Source organism: Homo sapiens, chromosome 8 (assembly GCF_000001405.40).
Source record: "Homo sapiens chromosome 8, GRCh38.p14 Primary Assembly".
Classification (NCBI taxonomy): Eukaryota; Metazoa; Chordata; class Mammalia; order Primates; family Hominidae; genus Homo; species Homo sapiens.
In genome coordinates, this window is record NC_000008.11 from 123,969,638 (window position 1) to 123,995,094 (window position 25,457).

Consider the following 25,457-nt stretch of genomic DNA (forward strand, 5'->3'; position numbering starts at 1 on the left):
TTGATAGCATTGTTTTCATTTGAGACCAGCCTGGGCAACATAGTGAGAACCTGTCTCTACAAAAAATTTAAAAAAAAAATTATCCAGGTGTGGTGGTATAGGCCTGTAGTCCCAGCTACTCAGGAGGCTGAGATGGGAGGATTACTTGAGCCCTGGGAGGTTGAGGCTGCAGTGAGCCCTAATTGTGCCACTGCACTCCAACCTAGCCGACAGAACAAAACCCTGTCTCCAAAAAAAAAAAAAAAAAAAGAGAATTGACAATTGACAATCAATTGATGATGTATATATATTCATGCAGCAGTTGGTTTGAATGACAAAGATCTAAATCCACTCCAAGGACAGGATTCTTAGGTGCAAGTCTGGGGTTGATGACCAGAATGAACTTTTTGTTTTGCAGTACTTTGTCTTCGACTTCATTGGGCCCCAAGTGCATCTTTTTGACAAGATCATCAAAATCTCCGTAAGTATAGCATTGGTGGTAATAGTTGTGGAGAGGTGGGAGACATTTTGGGCATTGGGGACTCTCTGGGACAACTCAGCATACTTAGCGGGGAATAGATTCAGGAGGGCAAGTGTCAGTTGGTGAGTCTAACCAACAGGCAGAACTTGAAATCACCAGTATGGAGGTGTCTGGGAAGAAAAACCACTTTAAGAAGATCTATGCTTCTTGGAAGCAAGTGGTAAGCTATGGTAAAGCTATTACTGATTGAATCATGTAGCTTACTAGTGTGGGAATGTGAGACACGTGCTTCAAGTGACATCTTAATGCATTGTCAGTTTTAGTTTGTTTTTTTTTAAATCAGGCAAATGTAGGTGTTTCTTTCTTGGGCTGGTATCTACACTAATGATCATTAATCACATCTCCTCCTCCTAGTTGGGTAATGAATAAAGAAATAGGAACAAGTACCAGGAAAAAAGTGTCAGTCTCATCAATGGTAATGTTGGATCAGAGGATGTGATTTGGACTAAGTGGTGGCCATTGGGATTTTCAAAAGTTGCCTCTGAGTGTAGACCTCAGGACCTGCCCTTGGGAAATTGAGTCTGCTGCATAGACTCTTCCTCAGCTCTGCCAGGGGAAGTGCAGATACAGAGCTTCCTGATCTAAGGGCCCAATCCAACTTTGCCCACTACATGGAGGACAGGAATGGGAAGGGGAAGTGCCCATGTTGAAGCCAGACTGATCCAAATGAGAGAGAAGTCAGGCCAAATGGGATTGTTACAAACTTTGCACCATTCAGCAAAGGGACAGAGACCAATGGATGACATACTGCATCTACCTTACCAGCGTGACAGATCACCACAGCTTCTCCCAAGGTGGTGAAGGATGGCTGGAGAGTAAGTTTCTCTCTTCCAAACAGTTCTAAGAGGATACAGTTCCTACTTCATGTGTCAGTGTAGGAAGTCTGGAGAATAAGGGAATGATTTCTTCAACAGTCAGCTGTAATCAGAATTGTGAGGATGACAAAACTTGTTTTGAAGATTTTCTTCCCTGTCTTTATCACTGACTCAATATAATATCTAAACAGATATATAAAATATGTTCCCTTTAACTACAGCTGACTGTCAGCAAAGTCCTGCATTATGGCCTAGGTAAATAGTGGAATTATGACATTAACCTTCCCAGGAGACTTGAAGAATGTGACTCTTGAAGAATGAGAAGTCACCCAGAGACAAACAATCTTAAGGTTTGAATTTCAGGCATGATGACAAGTGGTGCAGGTGATATTTCAGGACCTGGGACAATGCCCAGGACTTTGTTCCATTGCTCAGGCAACCATCTGTTTATGGAATCAGCTCCATAGGAGGCTTCTAAGGATTGTCTGATGAACAGTTAATCACTAGATTTTTATATTGTGCCATAGACCAGGGTCAGGACTGTTTGTGGGACATGTGGACTTCTAGACAGAGGATCAAAGCTACCATTGCCTATCTCTGTTTCTCTAACTTCGAAGAAGAGAAGACTTTAGTGTCCCTAAAAGACTCTTAGAGACAAAAGATTTTAAAATAAAATCTTCCCTTGAGAGGGGAATGTTTAACACAACTTTTCTGTTAGTCCATGAACTGAAAGTCAGTATGCCCAGAATATATACGACATGGGATAAGAAGTGGGGGACTGCTGTAAGCAGATGCTATTGGGACAGCCAGCCTGTAACACACCCTGGTGGTGCCAAAGACAGTCTTCCCTTCTCAGTGGCCAAGGCATGCAGGGCTCCCAGTACTCTGTGTGTGAGACATCCCCAGAGTCCTGGTGATTTAACACTTGACCACACCAGGATTGCCTGGCACTCAACCACTGGATGGATGACTTTAAGAGGCATCCTGTGTTATTTAAAGATTTGTTTGGGGCTCTTGCATTTCATCTTGCCCACAGGGACTCTCAACCTGAGAAGAGAACTTGAAACTGGCTTGTGTTCTTTCTCAGGCCTTTGGAAAAACACATGAGCAACTGCAAGCATGTTGGATTTTGGAGTGAACATTATGTGAGCATCCTTCTGTAGCTTCTCTACTTGAGTCAGGCTGCCTGTACTTCACCTTGGTTCTCTGACACCCATGGAAAATTTAGGTTAGGGAGAGAGAGTGGAAAGAGAAATGAGGAGGGCTGTCATTTCTTGAGGTCAACTGAATTTCTTTTGCTTCGCAAAAAGGAGCTGTTTAGAAGCTGCAAAAGCCTTCCGTTCATCTGTCATTCGATTAGTCATTCATTAATTCACTGAATGTTTATTGAATATCTATTGTGAACAAGGCCATGTGATGGGTGGATGACAGGAGGAAACTGTCCTTGACTTAAGGAACTTACAGGATTTTATAGTTAGAAGGAAGCTCAGAGGACATCTTGTATAACTTCCAACTGGTGCCAGAATCCTTCTCCTCTTCCTTTACTACGTGGAGTTCTTGGGGGCATAACTTGATTATTTGCAGTGATAGGGAGGTCGCTACCTCTAGGAAAGCTCATTCCATTGCTGGGAAGTTCTGACAGTTATAAACATTGTTCTTATATTGAGTGGAAATCTCTCATCCTGTTATTTGGGAACCATAGAGGGGGACTTGCTCTCTCTTCTGCATGACAGCATTTACATGATTTAAAGACACTTCAGTTGCCATTGCCCTTTCTCCACACCTGCCAGTTTTCTCTTTTATGGGTGACAGATTGAACTTTTCTCCTGGTTCTTCAGCAGTTTCTCATACGTTGTGGCTTTTCAACCTGGCACCAGCTCTGCACCTTCCTTTAGAACTTCCTCATCTTGAGAGCATTAGCATGAAAATGGGCTGCTGTAACCAAGCCAGGCCCTCTGCTGGCCCTGATCAGACAGAATATTGAGGGTGATTACCTCCTTTGTTCTCACCGTTGTACATGCCTAAAATGATTCAAGGCAATATGTGATGAGTTCTCTGAGAAAGTTGTGAGCAAAGTTGCAGGAGTTTAGCGGAGAAAAGGAACACTTTCAGTTTGGGGGGACTGAATGGCGGAGGTGACTTATGTTCTAGGTATTGAAAGATAGGGAAAATTTCAGCAGGAAGAGATGGGTGTTGAAGGGTGAGCTGTACTCAGATTTATTTTGGTTAAAGGAAGCTTGCAGGCACTGAGAGTTGACAGGCATCCTTCTATGGAAGATTAGCTAAAATCCTGCTAAGAGCAAGAAATGAAGGTGTTGAGGGGCTTCTGGAGGTCCTTTACAGCCTTGTGGTTTGATGGCCAAACTCCACTGTGCTCCAGACAGGGTCAAAGCTAGACAAGGGTCAAGGCCTCTTATCCTCAAGGTAAATCTGCCATACTCCCTGCTCTCTCTCTCCTCAGGTCTTTCACCACAAGCTGATAGGAAGTGTACTGATTGGCTCTTTCAAAGTAGACCTGGGGACCGTGTACAACCAACCTGGTAAGAAAACATCACCTCCCCATCTGTATCTCACTTGTCTTTGGTTTATAGCACCTGGAGTCATCCCATTCATTCACTCACCTGTGTGACCATTCATTCAATAACACTGAGCACCAGTTATACAAAGTTGAATGAGACATAACTCTTGCCCTCAAATGTTTTACAGTCTAATGATAAAATTATTTTATATGTCTACTTCTGGGGAGTTTTTTTTCTCACACAAATTCTGTCCAGTCGAGATATGGACAGGAGAGGCAATGGAATATAGGAACTAAGAATACAGACTCTGGAGTCAGATTGCCTGGGTTCGAATCCCACTCTATGTCCTAGCTGTGCAACCTTGGGCAAATGACTTAACTTCTCTGGGCCTCAGTTTCCTCATCTGTAGAAATGAAGATAACTTACTACTTCCTTCATAGGTTTGTTGGAGGATTGAGTAAGTTAATATACACAAAATGCTTAGTAAAGAGTCTCACTCATAAAAATGACTACAGCATTTTGTATCCTTATACAAAGGATTTGCTGTACTTATTATTATCCCTGATTTGTAGGAAAGAGAAACTCAGAAAAGCAACGTAATTTGTTCAAGGTCAAGAGCAAGTAAGTAAAAGAGCCAGCACAGATCTTTTTATGAAAGGCCCCCTATCTTCAACAGGGATTCCAACTCCTGTGACTGTGGGGGCCAGACAGGGAGCATAGCTGCGTGCAGCAGCCTGAGTGTGAGGCATAAAGGAACAGTGGAGTCTGGGAAAGGAGACAGGAAGGCTTGTGCTCCATATACAAGGGCAGTGGCTATTCAGTGCCTTTGGTATTTACTGCCATGTAGAAATGTGAAGCCATTGGCCAGGTGCAGTGGCTCACACCTGTAATCCTGGCACTTTGAGAGGTCGAGGTGGGTGGATCACTTGAGGTCAGGAGTTCAAGACCAGCCTGGCCAATATGGTGAAGCCCCATCTCTACTAAAAATACAAAAATTAGCTGGGCGTGATGGTGCACACCTGTAGTCCCAGCTACTTGGAAGGCTGTGGCAGGAGAATGGCTTGAACAAGGGAGGCAGAGGTTGCAGTGAGCTAAGATCATGCCATTGCTCTCCAGCTTGGGCATTACCATTGCTCTCCAGCCAGGCATCACAGCGAGACTCTGTCTCAAAAAAAAAAAAAAAAAAAAAAAGAAATGTGAAGCCAGTATTGCCAGAATTTACCATTTTTAAAGAAAAGCCGGAAGTCTAGATTATGTAAGCCATCTTGGAAGTTTTGACTCACAGTGAGGCCAAACAAAAAGACCAAGGAGCCAGGTTTATGTCCTGTGGGTAAATAATACGTATGTGACTTCTACACTTCATTAATGTCCCCCTATTCCATCAAAGATGGAACCTTGTCTCAGTGATTTCTACTAAGTCAATGGCTTCCCAAGAATCTATGGTAAATTGGGGGAAAAGATGGAGAACTGGTAGGAAGCAAAGGGAGAGGAGGGAAAGGAAGAGGGAAGCAGCATGAGGTTTGGAAAAAACTGAGATGATTTACCACCTAGAGCAACAGAGGGAGGAGAGCCTGGGAGGCCTTGGCGTGTGGGAGAGAAAGGGGTGGGGCTGCTGGGCCCATCTGTGAAGGATGTGAGCTGTCAGGGTGCTTTCACAGGTCATCAGTTCTGCAACAAGTGGGCCCTGCTCACAGACCCTGGTGACATCAGGACTGGCACCAAGGGGTACCTGAAATGTGACATCAGTGTCATGGGAAAAGGTGATGTCTTGAAGACCAGCCCTAAAACTTCTGACACCGAGGAGCCAATAGAAAAGTAAGACAGGTCCATCCTGGGTTGTGCATAGAAATGATATGTCCAATTTTAATCTCTTTCCCCTCCCTCACCACTTTTCTTATGGGTACATGAGAACCATGCTTCTTCTCAGCTTGGTCACCTGGCATTCTGCTCTATCAGACACCAAGATGTGTCCTATTAAGGTATGACTCTCCTTCACGAGGTCAGGTTCTAGGACAAGAACTGTCTGTCTTCCTATAATAACCCATAATAGATAAGCTATTCCTAAGCTTATCCAATTTTTCTGAATGTAGCTGAGTTTTCTTTGAAGGAATTATAATTTCAATCACTGGTTTGTGATGTGGGAAGACTTAAATGCACCTCTTTTAAGGTTCAGAGTGGGAGACAGTATTTATCCTATCCTAGGACCTGAACGAGTTTGCATTCACTCTATTCATACCATTCTCTGTCATTTACACTATAAAGAAAACTCATTTCAGCAATGAATCTTACTCTTTTCAGATTTGTCTTATATTGGGATCTTTCTTTCTGCCTCCAAATTGCTCCTGTCTTTTCTCTCTGTTTCTTCAATTGAGAGAGCTTTTTCATTTGTTTTTGTCTCCCTCTAAGGAACCTTTTGATCCCCAATGGGTTTCCACTGGAGAGACCGTGGGCCAGATTCTATGTGAGACTCTACAAAGCAGAAGGGTTGCCCAAAATGAATTCAAGCATCATGGCGAACGTCACCAAGGCATTTGTGGGTGACAGTAAGGACCTGGTGGATCCCTTTGTGGAGGTCTCCTTTGCTGGGCAGATGGTGAGGAACCATTGTCACTAACACTGCCTGCTAGGCCAGGGCCCTGCTCTCTATCCAAGATATGTTTAATCAAATCAAATTAATAAAAATTAGGAAGTGCCTTGAAAGCAAAAGCTTGTTACAAAAAGGCAATGGGGCCAGGCGAGGTGGCTCACACCTGTAATCCCAGCACTTTGGCAGGCTGAGGTGGTGAATCACTTGAGGCCAGGAGCTCAAGACCAGCCTGGCCAACATGGCAAAACCCTGTCTCAACTAAAAACACACAAAAAATTAGCTGGGCGTGGGCGTGGTGGTGCACCCCTGTAATCCCAGCTACTGGGTGGCTAAGGCATAAGAATTGCTTGAACTTGAGAGGCGGAGGTTGCAGTGAGCAGAGATTGTACCACTGTGCTCCAGCCTGGGTGACAGAGCAAGACTCTGTCTTTAAAAAAAAAAAAAAGAAAAGGCAACGGGATGTGGCAGGGAAATAGGGGAGGGTTACTCACTCACTCTTCATTGGAGAAAATGGAAAGGAGCTATGCGTGGATTGTGGTTTAGGATACAGGCAGACAGGCATCCTTCCTCACCCCTGGCTACTTCTCTGAGCTGTTTATTCAGTCCCCACATCCGGTAGAATTTCCACCCACCTCCTGACCTGTTCCACAATCTCCCCAGGTAGTCCTTGTCTTAGAATTTCCATCCACCTCCTGACCTGTTCCACAATCTCCTCAGTTAGTCCTTGTCTTATGTAAGCCTGGACATCGCTTTTCCCTGCTCAGGAGCCATTGGAGGTGTCAGGGCCTGTGTACGTGGTCAGAGATTAACCCTGGTTGGCTGGATTTTGAAGCTTCAACTCACACACATGTTATCTCTGCCATTAAAATACAGAACTACCCTGATTGTGTCCCCTTGGCAGGGGTGAACACTGAAGTATTTTTGACTTGGGCTGAACTTGGAGATCATATAAGACATCACCTCCATTTTATGACAAGGAAATTGAGGTCCAGAGTGGAAGAGTGATTCACACAAGGTCATACTTCTACAAAATATGAGCTCATGGTCTAACTACATCCACTGTATTTCTGGAGTTGCACAGAACTCCCATTCCCCAATATGCTGATCAGAACTTCCTGAGGGCGGGGCTGTGATGTGACTTTGTCTCAGATACCTGGCACGGTGTCCAGCATAGAGCAGGTCATCAGTCACGTTCGCTGAGTGTAACTGATTTTCGTGGGTGTCAGAAGCAGGTTCATTATCTTTGAAAACTCACTTTATACTTCCAGCTGGCTTGAAGAGTTTTCTGTAGTCAGTCAGTCCCTTCCATGACTCATGTCCTCCTGGCTGTGTTTTTAGGGGCGAACCACAGTGCAGAAGAACTGTGCTGATCCTGTGTGGCATGAACAGGTGATCTTCAAGGAAATGTTCCCTCCCTTGTGTCGGAGGGTGAAAATCCAGGTGTGGGATGAAGGCAGCATGAATGACGTAGCCCTGGCAACCCATTTCATTGACCTGAAGAAAATCTCCAACGAACAGGATGGAGACAAAGGTAAAGTCCCATCCATCTGACTTGAAAAATGTCTCAAAATGCTTGCTTTAGAGCCCTCATCTTTAAAAGGGGTGGGCTAGAGCAGCAGTCCCCAGCCTTTCTGGCACCAGATACCAGTTTTATGGAAGACTATTTTTCCATGAATGGGTTGGGGGATGGTTTTGGGATGAAACTGTTCCACTTCAGATCATCGGGCATTAGTCTCCTCATAAGGAGCATGCAACCTAGGTCCTTCATATGTGCAGTTCATAGTATGGTTTGTACTCCTATGAGAATCTATTGCCACCGCTAATCTGACAGACGGAGCTAGGTGGTAATACTCACTTGCCTGCTGCTCATCTCTTGCGGCCCAGTTCCTAACAGGATGGGTACTGGTCCATGGCTCTGGGCGGTCAGGAGCCCCTGGGTTAGAGCACCTTCCAGGTATTAGGCACTTTCCATGCTACTGTAGGGTCTGTGGTTTGAGTTGGTTCAGGGCAATGGATGAAGCCAGGCTCTGGGAGCCAGGAGGTTTGCTCCTGGTCCCGGGTCTTCCACAAACACTGCTATGTGTCCTTGAGGAAGTCAGTCTTCCCATAATTGAAAAATGAGACATTTAGAGTAAATCAGAGATTGGTAAACTAAGGTCTATGGGCCAAATATGGCCTACTACATATTTTAGTATGGCCCATAAAATAAATGGTACCAACAAAAATTGTGTCTTCAACCCATTGGTGGGAGCCTGAGAGCGCAGGAATAGCAGCGAGGTGCACTGACTGTGCACACTTTGAGCCAGGGTGGGAGCTGAGAGCTGGTGGATTAGCTCAGCTAATCCACTGAGCCAGCCAGGTGGAGGTCAGGTAAAAGAATTTCCACTCAGTTATATGGCTCTTTATTTGCAAAACCCAAATTAGTAGATAATTCTTTGAAAAACCCAACAAACCTTCCCTTCTTTAAATTCCCAGGCAATCTTTCTCTGTGCTACAAATTTATACTAATTGACATATTTTTTGCATACATACATGCACATGCATGTGTATCTACATATAATCACACATACATATACATGTATGTACAAATATATACATTAATAAATATATCACATATCATCTGTATATGGTTAATGTAATTATTTTAATTTTTTACTTGATTAGACTAAAGGCATGTCAAGAGCAGTAAACAAGATTTACACATTTTTATGTCCCTAACAGATACCATAGAGAGGCCTCAGTAAATAAATACCTTTGTCTAAATCTTTACATTATGGAAGTGTTTGCCACAAGATTGCTATATGCAGAAAGCACCCTCGGCCCATCTATACAATATCTCAGCTAGATGTAAACATGTTTTATTTACAACCTTTTAGGAACATCTTGATGGCATTCAGGAAGATATACATCAGTGATTTAAAATATAGACATCAGGACCATAAAATCTTTCTATCCTTTTCAATACAATATTCTTATATTTAAGTCTACTCAAGGAAGAGCTAGAATCCAGTCTATGGGAGTAGGGGATAGGAAATGTGTAGGCATAAAACTATTGATAATAGTTTCCATACATGGAAACATCTAATTGTCAACACTGGGGGATTGTTAAGCAGATTATGATATATTTGCTTCTTCATAATAATAGCCTATATTCTTAGCACTTCCTAAGGGCCTGCGTGAAGCACTCAATTGATAGTTTCTTTTAATTTTGAGAAATAAAATGCCATCTACTGAGCGGAAATTCTTTTACCTGACCTCTGCCTGGCTGGCTCAGTGGATTAGCTGGGGCTCAAAATTAAAGATGAGGCAGGTACTATTAACATCTCCCTTTTAGAGGTGAGGAAACTGAAACATGGGGAAGTTTAAAAACTGCCCAAGGTCACACAGCTTGAACATGACAGAGCTGAGATTTGAACTCAGGCCTCAGAGCCACCAGACTGTACTGCCTGTCATCGAGCTGTTGCCATAGCGATGTTCCCATAGACACTGCATTTTCTCAGACACTATGTATTAAGAAGTGAAAATACTTACATCAGCAGTAAGTTCAAATCATCAGGTCTTTTAAATTCTATGTTCAGAACATATCTTGAAACATTTACCTATGTCAGTCTCCACTACCTTCACCCTAGTTCAAGACGCTGGTCTTCAGTTTTGATGATGAAGTGGTCCTTGAACCAGTTAGCCTTCTAACCCTTCATGTAACAGCCATAGTGATCTTAAGACATATGATTATGTCACATCTTTGCTTAAATTCCTTTAAAACATTTCTGTAGTTTTTAGGATAAAGGCCAAAATTTTTATCAAGGCCCCAAGACCCACCTACCTCTTCAAACTCTCCCAGAGTTCATCTCTAGCTCCAGGCTCCTTTCTAACTGGCACATGCTCCTCCCTCTAGCCAGAACACACACTCTCTCTCTTCTCTGCCTGCCTAACTCCCCTCTATGTTACATCAGCCTGTTACTTTTTCTTGCAACACAAAGTGTATTTCCTCCATAGTGTTTGCACTGTAAATATTTATTTGCTTAATGTTTATACCTGCTTTGTTCTCCAGCAGGCTCTGTTTAGTATCTAGCATTGTACCTGGCACTAAACATAAAGCCTACTGGAGAACATGGGGGAATCAATAAACATTTGATGAATAAGTGAACAGAACAGAATGCAGATTGGCATTTATGGTATTAGTACAACTGTGAACAAGTGTAAACATGAATGCAAAAAAGACTAGAAGGAAATATGGCAAGATGGCAATCGTTGTCTTTTGGTCATGGGATATCCTGTCAATATTTTCTTTCGTCTTTCTTGGATATTCTACATTTTGAAATGAATGTGTGCAACTTTTATAAAGCAAAAACATAATGAGATAACTAAAACCTGGGGTCTCTCTAGGCTTTCTGCCCACCTTTGGGCCTGCCTGGATTAACCTGTATGGCTCGCCCAGGAACCACAGTCTGATGGATGACTACCAGGAAATGAACGAAGGCTTTGGGGAAGGTGTGTCATTCAGGGGCAGAATCTTGGTAGAAATTGCTGTGGAAATCCTCTCAGGACGGGCACAGGAATCTAAATTTTCCAAGGCCCTGAAGGAGCTCAAGTTGCCTTCCAAGGACAAAGACTCCAAATCTTCCAAAGGTAAAGACAAGGCTGACAAAACTGAAGATGGAAAATCCCAACAGGCTTCAAACAAAACTAACTCAACCGAGGTGGAGGTGGAATCGTTCGATGTCCCCCCGGAGGTAGGTCTAGGCACTGCATTATGGTACTTTACCTATGAGGTGAACCAGAGCAGGGACTGCCCCTGCCACAGGTTCCTGAAGGTGTTGTCAGAATATGTCTTATTCCCTCTGAAAAATTTGTGTTGGCCCAGCCCTGTGTTCTCAGGCTGATCCTCTGCCCCCTCTTGCACACTTCACAGCCATCTGCCTATGATAAATTCCTTTGAATCCCCCACTCCCCCAAATACAATTCCCATGGAAACCCAAGTAAAGAGAAATAAAAGTGCTCCGGAGGAGTTGGTGGGAGTGGGTGGTACGGGATTGATTAAACTCTATCTGTGGCCTAATTTTATTTAGTTGTGTTAGCTTAGAGTAAGCTCCGGATGGGAGATAATTTTGGATGAGGAATGAAGAGGAGGAAGAGTAGGTGACAAGCTGGGATATAAGAAATTGAGAAACCTACTCCCCTACCCCAAACCTGTGCGGGAAATCACAACTCTAGGGTATGCTTATTACTCACCATGAAGCATGTTAGCACTTTCCCAGCCCGGTTCTGCTTATGGGAAAGAGATCTGAGACTCTAAGAGGAATACAAATGGTGAATATTCTCTCTACTGTTTAGTTTATCAATGGTAACTTGCAGTTAAGCAAATGAAAGAGCTTCATGTTTTGTCAGTAGCGGAGGTAGGTAGATTCCAGCTCCTAGCTTGACTAATTCTGCCTCTGGAAGTGTGCTCGGTCAACTAGGCGATAATTTCGGGTAGGGAAGGGAGGTGATGCTCAAAATCCCAGAGCTGTTCATTTCTAGGAGAGACTGGAGAGTCCAAAGGGGTATAGCAGCAGGTCACCTTAGCCTTGGAAGAGGCATTTGTTTTGATTGCTGGGACCTAATAAATCTTAAGAAACCGTGTAGGGGAGTGGTTGGAGCATAGGGCTGGAAATCTTGGGGTTGGTTGTAGTTATGGCTCCGATACTAACACCTCTCTGTGTTTTAGTTTACCCATCAACAAAATGAAATAGTTAATAATTACCCTGCCATAGGCATATTTGGGGGTTAAATGAGGAAATGCATGTAAAATGGTTAGCAGAGTTCTTAGCACATACATAGGAAGTAGGCAATGCATTTGTTGTTGTTGTTGTCGTCAGTGTCGCTATGGTTTTCTCCCACCACCAGGAAGCAGCTATTCAGAGCTTTCCAATCTGTTTGTGACTTTGGAAACTTAGTGGACCTCCCCAGTTCTCTCCTCTGAGCTCACATACTGTATTGGGAAATATTATCTGAAAACGTGTGCGCCAGTTTCTTGTGGTTAGAACTTATTATCTATATGGGATTGTGTTTAGGGGTGTTTCTTGAGAATACATGCCAACTTTGGAGACTTAACTTTGAATTTCACCAGAAGTTGTGGGTGGCTTAGTAGCTACCTAAGCTGATATCTCCATCTATCCCTGTAGTCGTTTTTCCTGCTGTGGGTTGAAGCTGTCTATTCTTTTCTAAACAAGGATTGCCAAGTAGAAAGAGGCTAGAAAAATATTTTCTTCATCCAAGTCGAAATATCTTTAAGATATTTTGATGAAGACACTTGAAGCAGATTCTATCAGAAAGCAAGGGAAGTTGGGAACTTATGTGGGGTAGAAAGTACATTTGTCTACAGGCTGTTGGAGGGTGTATCTTGGCTATTGTGTAGTAGGTAATAGGTAAAATTCAGACACTATTTAAACCCTTATTTCCCCTCCCTCCTCTCTTCATCTTGGCTTCTTGTTGGTGGCCAGTATCTTGCTGGATTTATTAGTTATCTATGGCTGCATGATAACATATCTCAAAACTTGGCAGCTTAAAACAACAAACATTTATTTTCTCTGTAGATGAGTAATTTGGGAATAGCATGGCTCAGTGGTTCTGCCTCAGGATCTCATGAAGTTTCCATCAAGGCGAGGGCAGGGGCTGTCATGATCTGAAGGTTTGACTGTGGCTGGAGAACCCACTTTGAAGATGGCTCCTCACATGGCAGGAGACTGTGATTCTTTGTTGGCTCTTGGCAGGAGGCCTCATCCTCATTCTGTGGATCCTCCTACAGACTGCTTGAGGATCCTGTGACATGGCAGCTGGCCTTCTCCAGATCCAAGAGGGAGCAAGACTGAAACTGTCTTTCATGACCTGGCCACAGAAGTCACACAATGACATATCTGCTATGTTCTGTTTGTTAGAAATGAATCATTTAGTCCAGCCTGTCCTCAAAGGGAGGAGAATTAGGTTTCATTTTTTGAGGGGAAGATTAGCAAAGAATTTGTGGATATATTTTAAAGCCACCACAGTGGGCTTCAACCTTCCTCACACCTGAACAGCTCATGGCTCACCCTCATCAACATGATGATGCCGTTTCTTTCAGCATCTTCTTTTTCAACTGGTTCTCAAGCTCCAATCTCCCCTCTCCCCAGCTGCAGCCGTACCTTCATTGCCCATCTGGACAGTTGAGAGGTCCCATGATGCTGGCTTTGTCAACTCACCCCCATTACCCCTCAAAGCTTATCTCCCCTGTGCCAGATTTTCACAGATCATAGCCAATCTAAAAATGGGTTCATTTTTAAAATTCTGTGAACACACTGACTAGCTTCTTATTTAAATGTCATCCTCGATATTGGTAAGAATAAAAATAGAGCCTAACTCCATGGAGTTTATGATATAGAAGGAGAGGTATGAAATATAAATGTAACAGGAAGTAGAAAGTGGTAAGTGCTTTAAGGAGGTACAGATAAAGTGCTGTTATTTCCTGGAGTGAGTGAAGTATAATTATTAAAATGTTAAGCCCCCAAGTAAGAGAGCTGGATGTAAATTGTGGCAGTATGGTGCAGTGGTTACTGCTTGGCCTCTGGGGAAACATTGCCTGCATTTGAACCTGAGTAAGTGACTTAACATTCCTATGCTTATTTCCAAGAATAACCTCTTGCTTCTCAACCTCTTATTAAGGATTTGATAAATGAATATATGCAAATATGCTCAGAACAGAGCCTCATACATAGTGCTCAATAAATCTTAGTTATGCTTAATAATTTTGGGCAGAGATTTAATCTCACCAGACTGCAGTGTCATTGTCTGTGAGTGAGTAAAGTAGAAATGCCTCTTTCCTGCTGTAGTTGTGAGAATTTCAGGATATAGTGTGGGCAAAATTCTTAATACCATATCTGACACATAGTAAGAGGTCAGTAAACATTACCTATCATCATTTTAGCAGCTTGAGGAGCCAAGATGTGCTTCCAGAATGGAAAGACATTTGAGTTAAACCTTGTAGGATGGGTGGAATTAAGACATCAATTCTGCCCTGCTGAAATAATTATTTTGACTGCCATTTATGGTGATATGTATAGGCTTTTTACTAGGTGCTCGACATGAATGATATCATTTCTGCCCCTTCTCCTCCCTGAAAGCCCAATGATGGTGGTTATTTCACAGGTGAGGAACGTGACACTCAGAGAATAGACATGATTTGCTTAAAGTCAATCAGCCTCGGAATGGAAGGGTTGAGATTTGAGGAAGGGTTTGTTTGTCTGACTCTGGATCCTGAAATTCTTCTCTGGGCTACATGGCCTACATTCCCTCCAGGTCTCTTAGTAATTCCTTGTTTTGTGGTTTTTATTTTTAGCGACAGAGTCTTGCTATGTTACCCAGGCTGGTCTCAAACTCATGGGCTCAAACGATCTTCCCACCACAGCCTTCCGAGTAGCTGACACTACAGGCCACCACACCCAACTTCTCTCTGTGGTTTTTAACCTCCTCCTAGAGAGTAAACTCAGCCTCAGGAAGGTGAGATAGGAGGCTAGTTAATAGTCAGTGGATAGAGTGGTAGGAGGAGGGTATGCTCAGTGACTAAGATCCAGCACTGAGCCTCACCCTGTTCGACATTTTCTGGTCACTAGGAACATTTCCTAGGAAGACTGGCACCACAGCAGCTTCTGTATGAAAGAAGGGAGTATCCTTCACCTAATGATATGGAAACCCTTTGGTTCTCTGAGGCAGCTGTCTAGGACTCTCAACTCAATGGAGCTCTTGATCCCCGGGGCCACAATTGCTTTATTTCCTTAGATTGTCCTTATGGCTGCTTCTGCAGAGTTCAATCAATCCAATTGCAAAACCAGGAAGCACAGAATGTATGGGTCCAGTTGACTCAGCCTCTTAGCTCAGAAATGTAATGCTGTGTCAGTGGGTCCAGCAACATCTGTTCCCTGAAGCATCAGCCTTTTCCTTGTCAATAAGAGACATTTGCAAATAATTGTGTATTCCCTTGTGATGACTCCTGTCTTATGACTTGTTATAGTCTAGTCCTCCAGACTGTGGACTCCTTGAGAAGGCAGCCTTGTTGGAAACCAGGCCTTGAGTCTTGGCTGACTTTAATTTGCTGTGTTTGACCTTGGGAAGCTGCTTAGTATCTCTGAGCATTAGTTTATTCAGGTAAAATGTGGAGGTTGGAGTAGATGAACTCGAAGGTCCTTTTTAATATGAAGGCACCTGTGATTCTGGGACCTGTGTACCCTTCACAGCAGCAACCACATTGCATGTAGCCCACCCTGGATACATATGATTGCCCAATGCTTGTACATGTGACTAATCTGCTATTTGTTTTTATCTGGGCTTGCTTATTTGGGGAAGTAAAGTTTGATTCTGGTCAGTGTTAATGCATTGGGTGAATACATGTTCAAGTTCAAAGAGCACTGGGTCTGTGGTGAGTATACTTGGCGAAGTTACTTGACAACCTCAAGCTTTAGTTCCCTCAGTTTCCTTATCTGTTAAATGGGAATGATCCAAATTTTGACCTCTTAAGGTTGCAAGGAGGAACAAATAACGTATCTGACTACCCTGTGTAAGCCATAAAGTTGTGCTCAAATCTAAGGATTTTATACTGTAATTCTGTTTCTTGTCTTTGATTTTCTGTTTTCTGAAACCCCAATCTCCAGAAGGTAATTCCAAACCCGTGTTTCACCAGCAGCATCCTAGAAAGATACGCACACCAAGTTTATATGTTAAAATAAAAGGAGTTTTGTTTTAAGGTAGAAGCTCAGAAGGTTGAGACTGCATCATTCTAGATGAATGACTAAATTTGGATCTGCAGTTTGCAGATCCTGATTCATACATGTCTTATTTGGGGGGAAACGCTGTGCCATTTCAGGCTGAAACAGAGACCCAAATGTTTATAAATTATGCTGGATGAGGCCAGCATCACAAAGTCAGCTTCCTAATGAGAGAAAAAGCCAGTTCTGCCTAATAATTTTGTTTTCTTTCTGTAGATTGTACCAGAAAAAAATGAGGAATTTTTACTCTTTGGAGCATTTTTTGAAGCTACCATGATTGACCGGAAGATTGGAGATAAACCCATCAGCTTTGAAGTTTCTATTGGTAAGTACAGATAAGCACAGTGCCAGGCACATAGCATGGATTTAGTATCTATTTCTTGAATAAATGAGTTAGTGCCTTACATGAAGATAATAGCACTCTGGTGGAGGTTTGCATCTCAGAATGAGATGAACAATTCCTTGTCTACTCTATTGTCAATATATAAGGGATAGATTTATTTTCTTTTAAATTTAAATTTGAAGTTTTGTGGGTACACAGTAGGTGTATATATTTATGGGGTACATGAGATTTTGATATAGGTATACAATATGTAAAAATCCCACTAGGGTATATAGGGGATCTATCACCTCAATCATTTATCCTTTCTTTGGTTACCAACAATCCATATTACACTGTTTTAGTTACTTAAAAACGTACAGTAAGTTGTTGTTGACTGTACTCACCCTGTTGTGCTATCAAATACTAGATCTTATTCTATTGAACTCTATTTTTGTACCCATTAACCATCTGCACTTCTCCCCTGCCTCCCACTACCCTTCCCAGCCTTTGATAACCATCATTTCACTCTCTATCTCAATGAGTTTAATTGTTTTAATTTTTAGCTTCTCCACCAGATAAGTGAGAACATGTGAAGTTTGTCTTTCTGTGCCTGGCTCGTTTCACTTAACATGATAACCTCCTGTTCCATCCATGTTGCTGGAAATGACAGGTTCTCATTCTTTTTCATGGATGAATAGTACTCCATTGTGTATCTGTATCACATTTTCTTTATCTATTCATCTGTTGATGGACATTTAGGTTGCTTCCAAATCCTAGCTATTGTAAATAGTGCTGTAACAGACATAGGAGTGCAGACATCTCTTCGATATACTGACTTCCTTTCTTTTGGATATACACCCAACAGTGGGATTGCTGGCTCATATGGTAGTTCTATTTTTAGTTTTCTGAGGAACTGTCAAACTGTTCTCCATAGTGGTTGTATTAATTTGCATTCCCATCAACAGTGTATGAGGGTTCGCTTTTCTCCACATCCTCACCAGCATTTGTTATTAGCCTGTTATTTGGAGACAAGCCATTTTAACTGGGGTGAAATGATATATCATTGAAGTTTGATTTATGTTTCTCTGATGGTTAATGATGCTAAGCGCCTTTTCATATGCTTGTTTGCCATTTGTATGTCTTTTTTTGAGAAATGGCTATTCAGATCTTTCACCTATTTTAAAATCAGATTATTGGATTTTTTTTTCCTATACAGTTGTTAGAGCTCCTTATAGCTTCTGGTTATTAATCCCTTGTCAGATAGATAGGATGCAGATATTTTCTCCTGTTCTGTGGATTGTCTCCTCACTTTATGAATTGTTTCCTTTGATGTACATCAGCTTTTTAACTCGATGTGATCCCATTTGTCCATTTTTGTTTTGGTTGCATATGCTTGTGGTGTATTACTCAAGAAATCTTTGCCCAGATCAATGCCCTGGAGAGTTTTCCCAATGTTTTCTTGTAGTAGCTTATAGTTTGAGGACTTAGATTTAAGTCTTTAATCCATTTTGATTTGGTTTTTGTATATGGTGGAACATAGGGGTCTAGTTTCATTCTTCTTTATATGGCTATCCAGTTTTCCCAGCACCATTTATTGAAGAGACTGTCCTTTTCCCAACACATGTTCTCGATACTTTTGTAAAAAATGAGTTCACTGGCTGGGTGCGGTGGCTCACACCTGTAATCCCAGCAGTTTGGGAGGCTGAGGCAGGCGGATCACGAGGTCAGGAGTTCGAGACCATGGTGAAATCCCATCTCTAGTAAAAATACAAAAATTAGCCGGGCATGGTGGTGTGTGCCTGTAATCCCAGCTACTTGGGAGGCTGAGGCAGGAGAATCACTTGAACCCGGGAGGCGGAGGTTGCAGTGAGCTGAGATTGCGCCACTGCACTCCAGCCTGGGCGACAGAGCGCAACTCAAAAAAACCAGACAGCATGTCTCAAAAAAAAAAAGAGTTCAGTATAGATGAATAGATTTATTTCTGGGTTCTCTATTCTGTTCCATTGTCCATGTGTCTGTTGTTATGCCAGTACCACACTGTTGTGGTTACTACAGCTCTGTAGCATAATTTGAAATCAGGTAATATGATTCCTCCAGTTTTGTTCTTTTTGCTTAGAATAGCTTTGGCTATTCTGCGTCTCTTGTGGTTCCATGTAAACTTTAGAATTTTTTTCTATTTCTATGAAGAATGTCATTGGTATTTTGATAGAGATTGCATTGAATCTGTAGATTGCTTTGGGTAGTGTGGATGTTTTAACAATACTGATTCTTCCAATCCATGAACATGGAATATGTCTCTCTTTTTTTGTGTCCTCTTCAATTTCTTTAACCAGTGTTTTATAGTTTTCGTTGTGGAGATCTTTCACTTCTTTGATTAAGTTTATTCCTAGGTATTTTATTTTATTTGTGGCTATTGTAAATGGGATTACTTTCTTGATTTCCTTTTCACATTGTTCACTGTTGGCATATAGAAATGCTACTAATTTTTAAATGTTGATTTTGCATCCTGCAACTTTACTGAATTTGTTTATCAGTTCTAACAGGTTTTTGGTGGAATATTTAGGTTTTTCCAAATATAAGATCATATCATCTGCAAACAAGGATTATTTGACTACTTCATTTCCTATTTGGATGCCCTTTGTTTCTTTCTCTTGTCTGATTTCTCTCTCTAGGACTCCCAGTATTATGTTCAGTAATAGGGATGAAAGTGGGCATCTTTTTCTTCTTCCAGATCTTAAAGGAAAGGCTTTCAGTTTTTTTTCCATTTGGTGTGAAACTAGCTGTGGGTCTGTCATATATCGCTTTTATTGTATTGAGGTATGTTCCTTCTGTACTTAGTGTTTTGAGAGTTTTTTTAATCATGAACGGATGTTAAATTTTATCAAATGCTTTTTCAACATAAATTGGAATGATCATATGGTTTTTGTCCATTCTGTTGACGTGATGTATCATATTGATTTGCGTACATTGAACTATCTTTGCATCCTTGGTACAAATCCCACTTGGTCATGATGAATGATATTTTTAATGTGTTGTTGAATTTGGTTTGCTAGGATTTTGTTGAGGATTTTTGCATCAGTGTTGATCAGGGATATTGGCCTGTAATTTTCTTTTTTGTGTCTTTGTATGGTTTTGGTTTCAGGGTAATACTGGCCTTGTAGAATGAGTTTGGAAGTATTCCCTCCTCTTCCATTTTTTTGTATTGGAATTCTTTTTTAAAAATATTTTTAAAATATCAGTAGCTTTTGTAATACAAATAGTTTTCGGTAACGTGGATGAATTGTATTCATCCTTGGTGAAGTCCATGATGAAGTCTAGGATTTTACTGCACCTGTCACCCAAGCAGTGTACATTGTACCCAGTATATAGTTTTTTATCCTTTGTCCTCTCATACCTCTTCCTTCTGAGTCTCCAAAGTCCATTATACCACTCTGTATGACTTTTCATACCCATAGCTTAGCTCCTGCTTATAAGTGAGAACATATGGTATTTGGTTTTCCATTCCTGAGTTACTTCACTTAGAATAATGACCTCCAGCTCCATCCAAGTTTGCTGCAAAAGACATTATTTTATTCTTTTTTATGGCTAAGTAGTATTCCATGGTGTGTATATACCACATTTTCTTTATCTACTCATTAGTCAATGGGCATTAAGGTTAGTTCCATATCTTTGCAATTGTGAATTGTGCTGCAACAAACATAAACATGCAGGAGTCTTTATGATATAATGACCTTTTTTCCTTTGGGTAGATAACCAGTAGTAGGATTGCTGGATTGAATGGTAGATCTACTTTTAGTTCTTTAAGAAATCACTGGCTGGGCGCGGTGGCTCATGCCTGTAATCCCAGCACTTTGTGAGGCCGAGGTGGGCGGATCACGAGGTCAGGAGATCGAGATCATCCTGGCTAACATGGTGAAACCCCGTCTCTACTAAAAATACAAAAAATTAGCTGGGTGTGGTGGTGGGTGACTGTAGTCCCAGCTACTTGGGAGGCTGAGGCAGGAGAATGGTGTGAACCCAGGAGGCGGATCTTGCAGTAAGCCGAGATAGCACCACTGCACTCCAGCCTGGGTGGCAGAGGAGACTCTGCCTCAAAAAAACAAAATAAAATAAAAAGAAATCATCATATGGTTTTCCATAGAGATTGTACTGATTTACATTCCCACCAGCAGTCTGTAAGCATTCCCTTTTCACCACATTCACGCCAACATCTATTGTTTTTTGACTTTTTAATAATGGCCCTTCTGGCTGGGGTAGGATGGTATCTCACTGTGGTTTTAATTTGCATTTCCCTAATCATTAGTGATGTTGAGCATTTTTTTCATATGTTTATTGGCCATTTGTATTATCTTCTTTTGAGAAATGTCTATTTATGTCATTTGCCAACTTTTTGATGAGATCTGTTTTCTTGCTGATTTGTTTGAGTTCCTGGTATTCTGGATATTAGTCCTTTGTTGGATGCATAGTTTGCAAAGGTTTTCTCCCATTCTATGGGTTGTCTGTTTACTCTGATTATTTCTTTTGCTGTGTGGAAGCTTTTTAGTTTAATTAGGTCCCACTTATTTATGTTGGTTTTTGTTGTGTTTGCTTTTGGGGTCTTAGTTATAAATTCTTTTCTTAGGACTGTGTCGTGAATAGATTGTTCTATGTTTTCTTCTAGGAATTTTGTGGTTTCTGGTCTTAGATTTAAGTCCTTGATCCATCTTGAGTTGATTTTTGTATACGATACAGATCCAGTTTTATTCTTCTACGTGTGGCTATCCAGTTTTCCTAGCACCATTTATTAAATAGGGTGTTCTTTCTCCAAATTAATGTTTTGTATGCTTTGTCAAAATTCAGTTGGTGGTAAGTATTGGCTTTATTTCTGGGTTCTCTGTTCTGTTCTATTGGTCTATGTATCTGCTTTTATACCAATACCATGCTGTTTTAGTAACTATATCCTTGCAGTATAACTTGAAGTCAGGTAATGTGATGCTTCCAGATTTGTTCTTTTTGCTTAGGATTGCTTTGGCTATTTGTGCTCTTTTTTTGGTTTTACATGAATTTTAGGATTGTTTCTAATTCTGTGAAAAATGATGTTGGTATTTTGATAGGAACTGCATTGAATTTGTAGATTGCTTTGAGAAGTATGGTCATTTTCACAACACTGATTTTTCTAATCCATGAGCATGAGATGTGTTTCCATTTGTGTCATCTATGATTTCTTTCAGCAGTGTTTTGTAGTTCTCCTTGCAGAGATATTTCACCTCCTTGGTTAAGTATATTCCTAGTTTTTTTTTTCTTTTTTGCAGCTATTGTAAAAGGGATTGTGTTCTTGATTTGATTCTCAACTTGGAAGTTGTTGGTATATAGCAGTGCTACTGATGTGTGTACATTGATTTGTAACCTGAGATTTTGATGAATTTGTTTATCAAGTCGAGGAGTCTTTAGGGTTTTCTAGGTATATCATCATATCATTAGCAAACTGCAATAGTTTGACTTCTTCTTTTCCAATTTGAATGTCCTTTATTTCTTTCTCTTGCCTGATTGCTCTGGTTAGGACTTCCAGTATTAAGTTGCATAGAAGTGGTGAAAGTGGGCTTCCTTATCTTGTTCCAGTTCTTAGGGGAAATGCTTTCAACTTTTCCCCATTCAATATAATGTTGGCTGAGGGCTGAGGGTTTTTCATGTAGGGCTTTTATTATTTTGAGATATGTCCCTTCCATGCCTACTTTTTTGAGGGTTTTTTTTTAAATCATAAAATGATGCTGTATTTTATTGAATGCTTTTGCTGCATCTTTTGAGATGATCATATGGTTTTTAATTCTGTTTATTTGATGTATCACTTATATTGACTTTCATACATTAAACCATTCCCGCATCCCTGGAATGTAATGCACTTGATCATGGTGTATTTTCTTTTTGATGTGCTGTTGGATTTGGTTTGCTAGTATTTTGTTGAAGATTTTTGCATCTGTGTTTATCAGGGATATTGTTCTGTAGTTTTCTCTTTTTGTTATGTCCTTTCCTGGTTTTGGAATCAGGGTGATATTGGCTTCATAGAATGAGTTAGAAATAATTCCCTCTTTCTCAATCTTTTGGAATAGTTTCAGTAGAATTGGTACTAACTCTTTTATGAATGTCTGGTAGAATTCAGCTGTGAATCCATCTGGCCCTAGGATTTTTTTGTTGTTGGCAATTTTTTTTACATTGCTGACTCAATCTCACTGCTTGTTATTGGTCTCTTCAGGGTTTCTATTTCTTCCTTTCTTAATCTAGGAATGTTGTATATTTCCAGGAATTTATCCATTTCCTCTAGATTTTCTAGTTTGTGTGCATAGAAGTATTCATAGTAGTCTTGAATGATCTTTTGTATTTTTGTTGTATCAGTGGTAATGTCTCCATTTTAATTTCTAATTGAGATTATTTGCATCTTCCATCTTCTTCTTTTCTTGGTTAATATAGATAATGGTCTATTGATTTTGCTTATCTATTTAAAGAAACAATTTTTTGTTTCATTGATCTTGTATATTTTTGGTTTCAATTTCATTTAGTTTTGCTTTTATCTTTGTTATTTCTTTTCTTCTGCTAACTCTTTGAGTTTTGTTTTTTTCCTATTTTTCTACTTCCTTGAGGTGCGACATTGGGTTGTCAATTTGTGATCTATCAGACTTTTTGATGTAGGCATTTAGTCCTTCCTCTTAGCACTGCTTCTGCTGTATCTGAGAAGTTTTGATAAGTTGTGTCACTATTATCATTTATTTCAAAGAATTTTTAAATTTCCATCTTGATTTCATTGTTAAACCAAAAATCATTCAGGAGCAGACTAATTTCCATGTATTTTTAGTTTTGAGGATTCCTTTTGGAATTGATATCTAGTTTTATTCTGTGGTCTGAGAAGATACTTGATATGATTTCAATTTTTAAAAGTTTGAGATTTGTTTTGTGTCCTATCATATCGTCTATCTTGGAGAATGTTCCCTGTGCTGATAAGAAGAATGTATATCCGGCCGGGCGCGGTGGCTCACGCCTGTAATCCCAGCACTTTGGGAGGCCGAGGCGGGCGGATCACGAGGTCAGGAGATCGAGACCATCCCGGCTAAAACGGTGAAACCCCGTCTCTACTAAAAATACAAAAAATTAGCCGGGCGTAGTGGCGGGCGCCTGTAGTCCCAGCTACTTGGGAGGCTGAGGCAGGAGAATGGCGTGAACCCGGGAGGCGGAGCTTGCAGTGAGCCGAGATCCCGCCACTGCACTCCAGCCTGGGCGACAGAGCGAGACTCCGTCTCAAAAAAAAAAAAAAAAAAAGGAAGAATGTATATCCAAGACCAAATGTTTATTTGATGAGCACCAGGGCTGCCTGACTGTTTTGGGGTAGAGTTACAGACTTTCCTGCTGAGCCCAGCACTGCAGCTGAGCCTCTGTTAAAAGAAACTTCCCACCAGCAGAAAGTTCTGGGACTCAAGGCCTGCTATGTGGATTTTTTTGTCCCACAGGGTGCTCCCTTAATATGATGCACTGCCCCTTTCCCTCAGAGTAGGAGTCCCTGAGAGCCAAACTACAGTGAATGTTGCTGTTCTTCTGGGTCTAGCCACCCAGAGGGGCTGCCACAATCCAGGCTTGTTTGTGAAAATGCCAACAAATGATCCAGTGATGTGGTCTGTCCTCAAGTCTCCCAGCAGTGGCTACCAGTACCAGTTCTAATGAGGGTGGTCAGGGGAGTGATGTAGACTCTGTGAGATTCTCTGATTATAAATAGCCTTAGTGTGTTGGCTTTCTCAAATGCCGGTTGTAGTAGTAATGAGCTGATCATGTAGGCAGACTTAGGACCTCCTGTTTATCCAGGGTGCTCAGCAATGCTGTTAGTTAAGGCCATGCACAAGTTTTCTCCTTCCTGGATGCTGTTATTCTACCTGAAGGTGCTGTAATAGACTGTGTCGGTTGGCCTCCAGCCAGGAGGTGGTGCTTGCAAAAAGGTATCAGCTGCAGTGGTGGTGGTGGGATTTGTGCTTGCCTTATGCTGCCCAGAGGAGGTACTCTGGCATCTCAGGCAATGAGTGGAACCACAGAGCTTCCAAATTTTGTCCTTTGTGTTATGTTATCAGTGTGGGTGGAGGCTCAAAGACAGGTGGGGTCTGGGTCTGGGCCTGTCAAGTCCATGCTCTGGCTCTTCACATGCAGGGCAAGCAGCAGCTCAAATGGGGAGTTAGGGAAACAGTTCTCTGACCACTGGGGCAATGCTTCAAGAAAGAGCACAGCTGCCTTTTCTGTACGGAAGAGTCCAGAGAAGGAGTGGGGGGTAGCATGCAGCAGTAAGCCCCACCCAGCTCCTACACATTGGCGAGACATATCTTTCACCCACGGTATTCCACCAGCAGCAGCTAGCTAAGTTCCAGGCAGTCTCTGCTCAGAACTTACAACTGCCCCAGGTCATAAGCCTTCCCTGGTGGAGACAGCAACTGCAGCTTGCAGGCCACACACCTCCCAGTTCACCCGCAAAACCCAGGCTCCCAGCTCTAGCACTTGTGGCTGCAACACGTTTCCCACTTGTCCCCCAGTTCTGGCCAAGGGAGTTTGTCCCCACTTGAGATTATTTTGTACCTCTCAGCTGGGGGCTTCTGTAAACCTGCAACCATCACCTGAGTTAGCTGGCAGGCTTCTACAAGGTCCCCTGTGAGGTAGGATCAGGAATGGCTTCCCTCTATCTGTACTGGAGATTGGGAATGTATGCATAACTTGTGGTTGCTTCTACTTTTATGTTTCTCTTTGCTCCCTAAATAAGTTAGCACTTGTTAGGGTTAAGGTCTTCCTCCATGGCCTGGATTGTGAGATTCTCTGGTGGGAGTGTATATCCCAGAGGCAATTTATCTCCTTCTCACAGTCTGGGGACTTAAAATATTCTGCCTGGCTCACAGTTTAGGCTGCAGCCCACTGCTTCTTTC

General features: G+C 41.7%; 1 protein-coding gene and 1 long non-coding RNA gene across 8 annotated transcripts in view; one reads left to right on the forward strand and one right to left on the reverse strand.

Moving 5' to 3' along the window:
- The window catches only part of FER1L6 (fer-1 like family member 6), a 268,075-nt gene that overhangs the window by 117,651 nt on the left and 124,967 nt on the right, over positions 1–25,457 (forward strand). For all 7 annotated transcript variants that reach the window (XR_928347.3, NM_001039112.2, XM_011517231.3 and 4 more), the window contains 7 exons: positions 398–460; positions 3,797–3,875; positions 5,513–5,669; positions 6,261–6,447; positions 7,780–7,972; positions 10,828–11,174; positions 16,431–16,539. Coding sequence is in view for 6 of the 7 variants with exons in the window: in NM_001039112.2 (NP_001034201.2) it covers positions 398–460; positions 3,797–3,875; positions 5,513–5,669; positions 6,261–6,447; positions 7,780–7,972; positions 10,828–11,174; positions 16,431–16,539 (1,135 nt within the window). In the remaining variant the exon portion in view is untranslated. The remainder of the gene's footprint in view (positions 1–397; positions 461–3,796; positions 3,876–5,512; positions 5,670–6,260; positions 6,448–7,779; positions 7,973–10,827; positions 11,175–16,430; positions 16,540–25,457) is intronic.
- FER1L6-AS1 (FER1L6 antisense RNA 1) overlaps positions 14,501–25,457 on the reverse strand; it is a 56,645-nt gene continuing 45,688 nt past the window's right edge. The window contains exon 6 of the long non-coding RNA NR_040044.1: positions 14,501–16,136. This is a non-coding gene — a long non-coding RNA (FER1L6 antisense RNA 1). The remainder of the gene's footprint in view (positions 16,137–25,457) is intronic.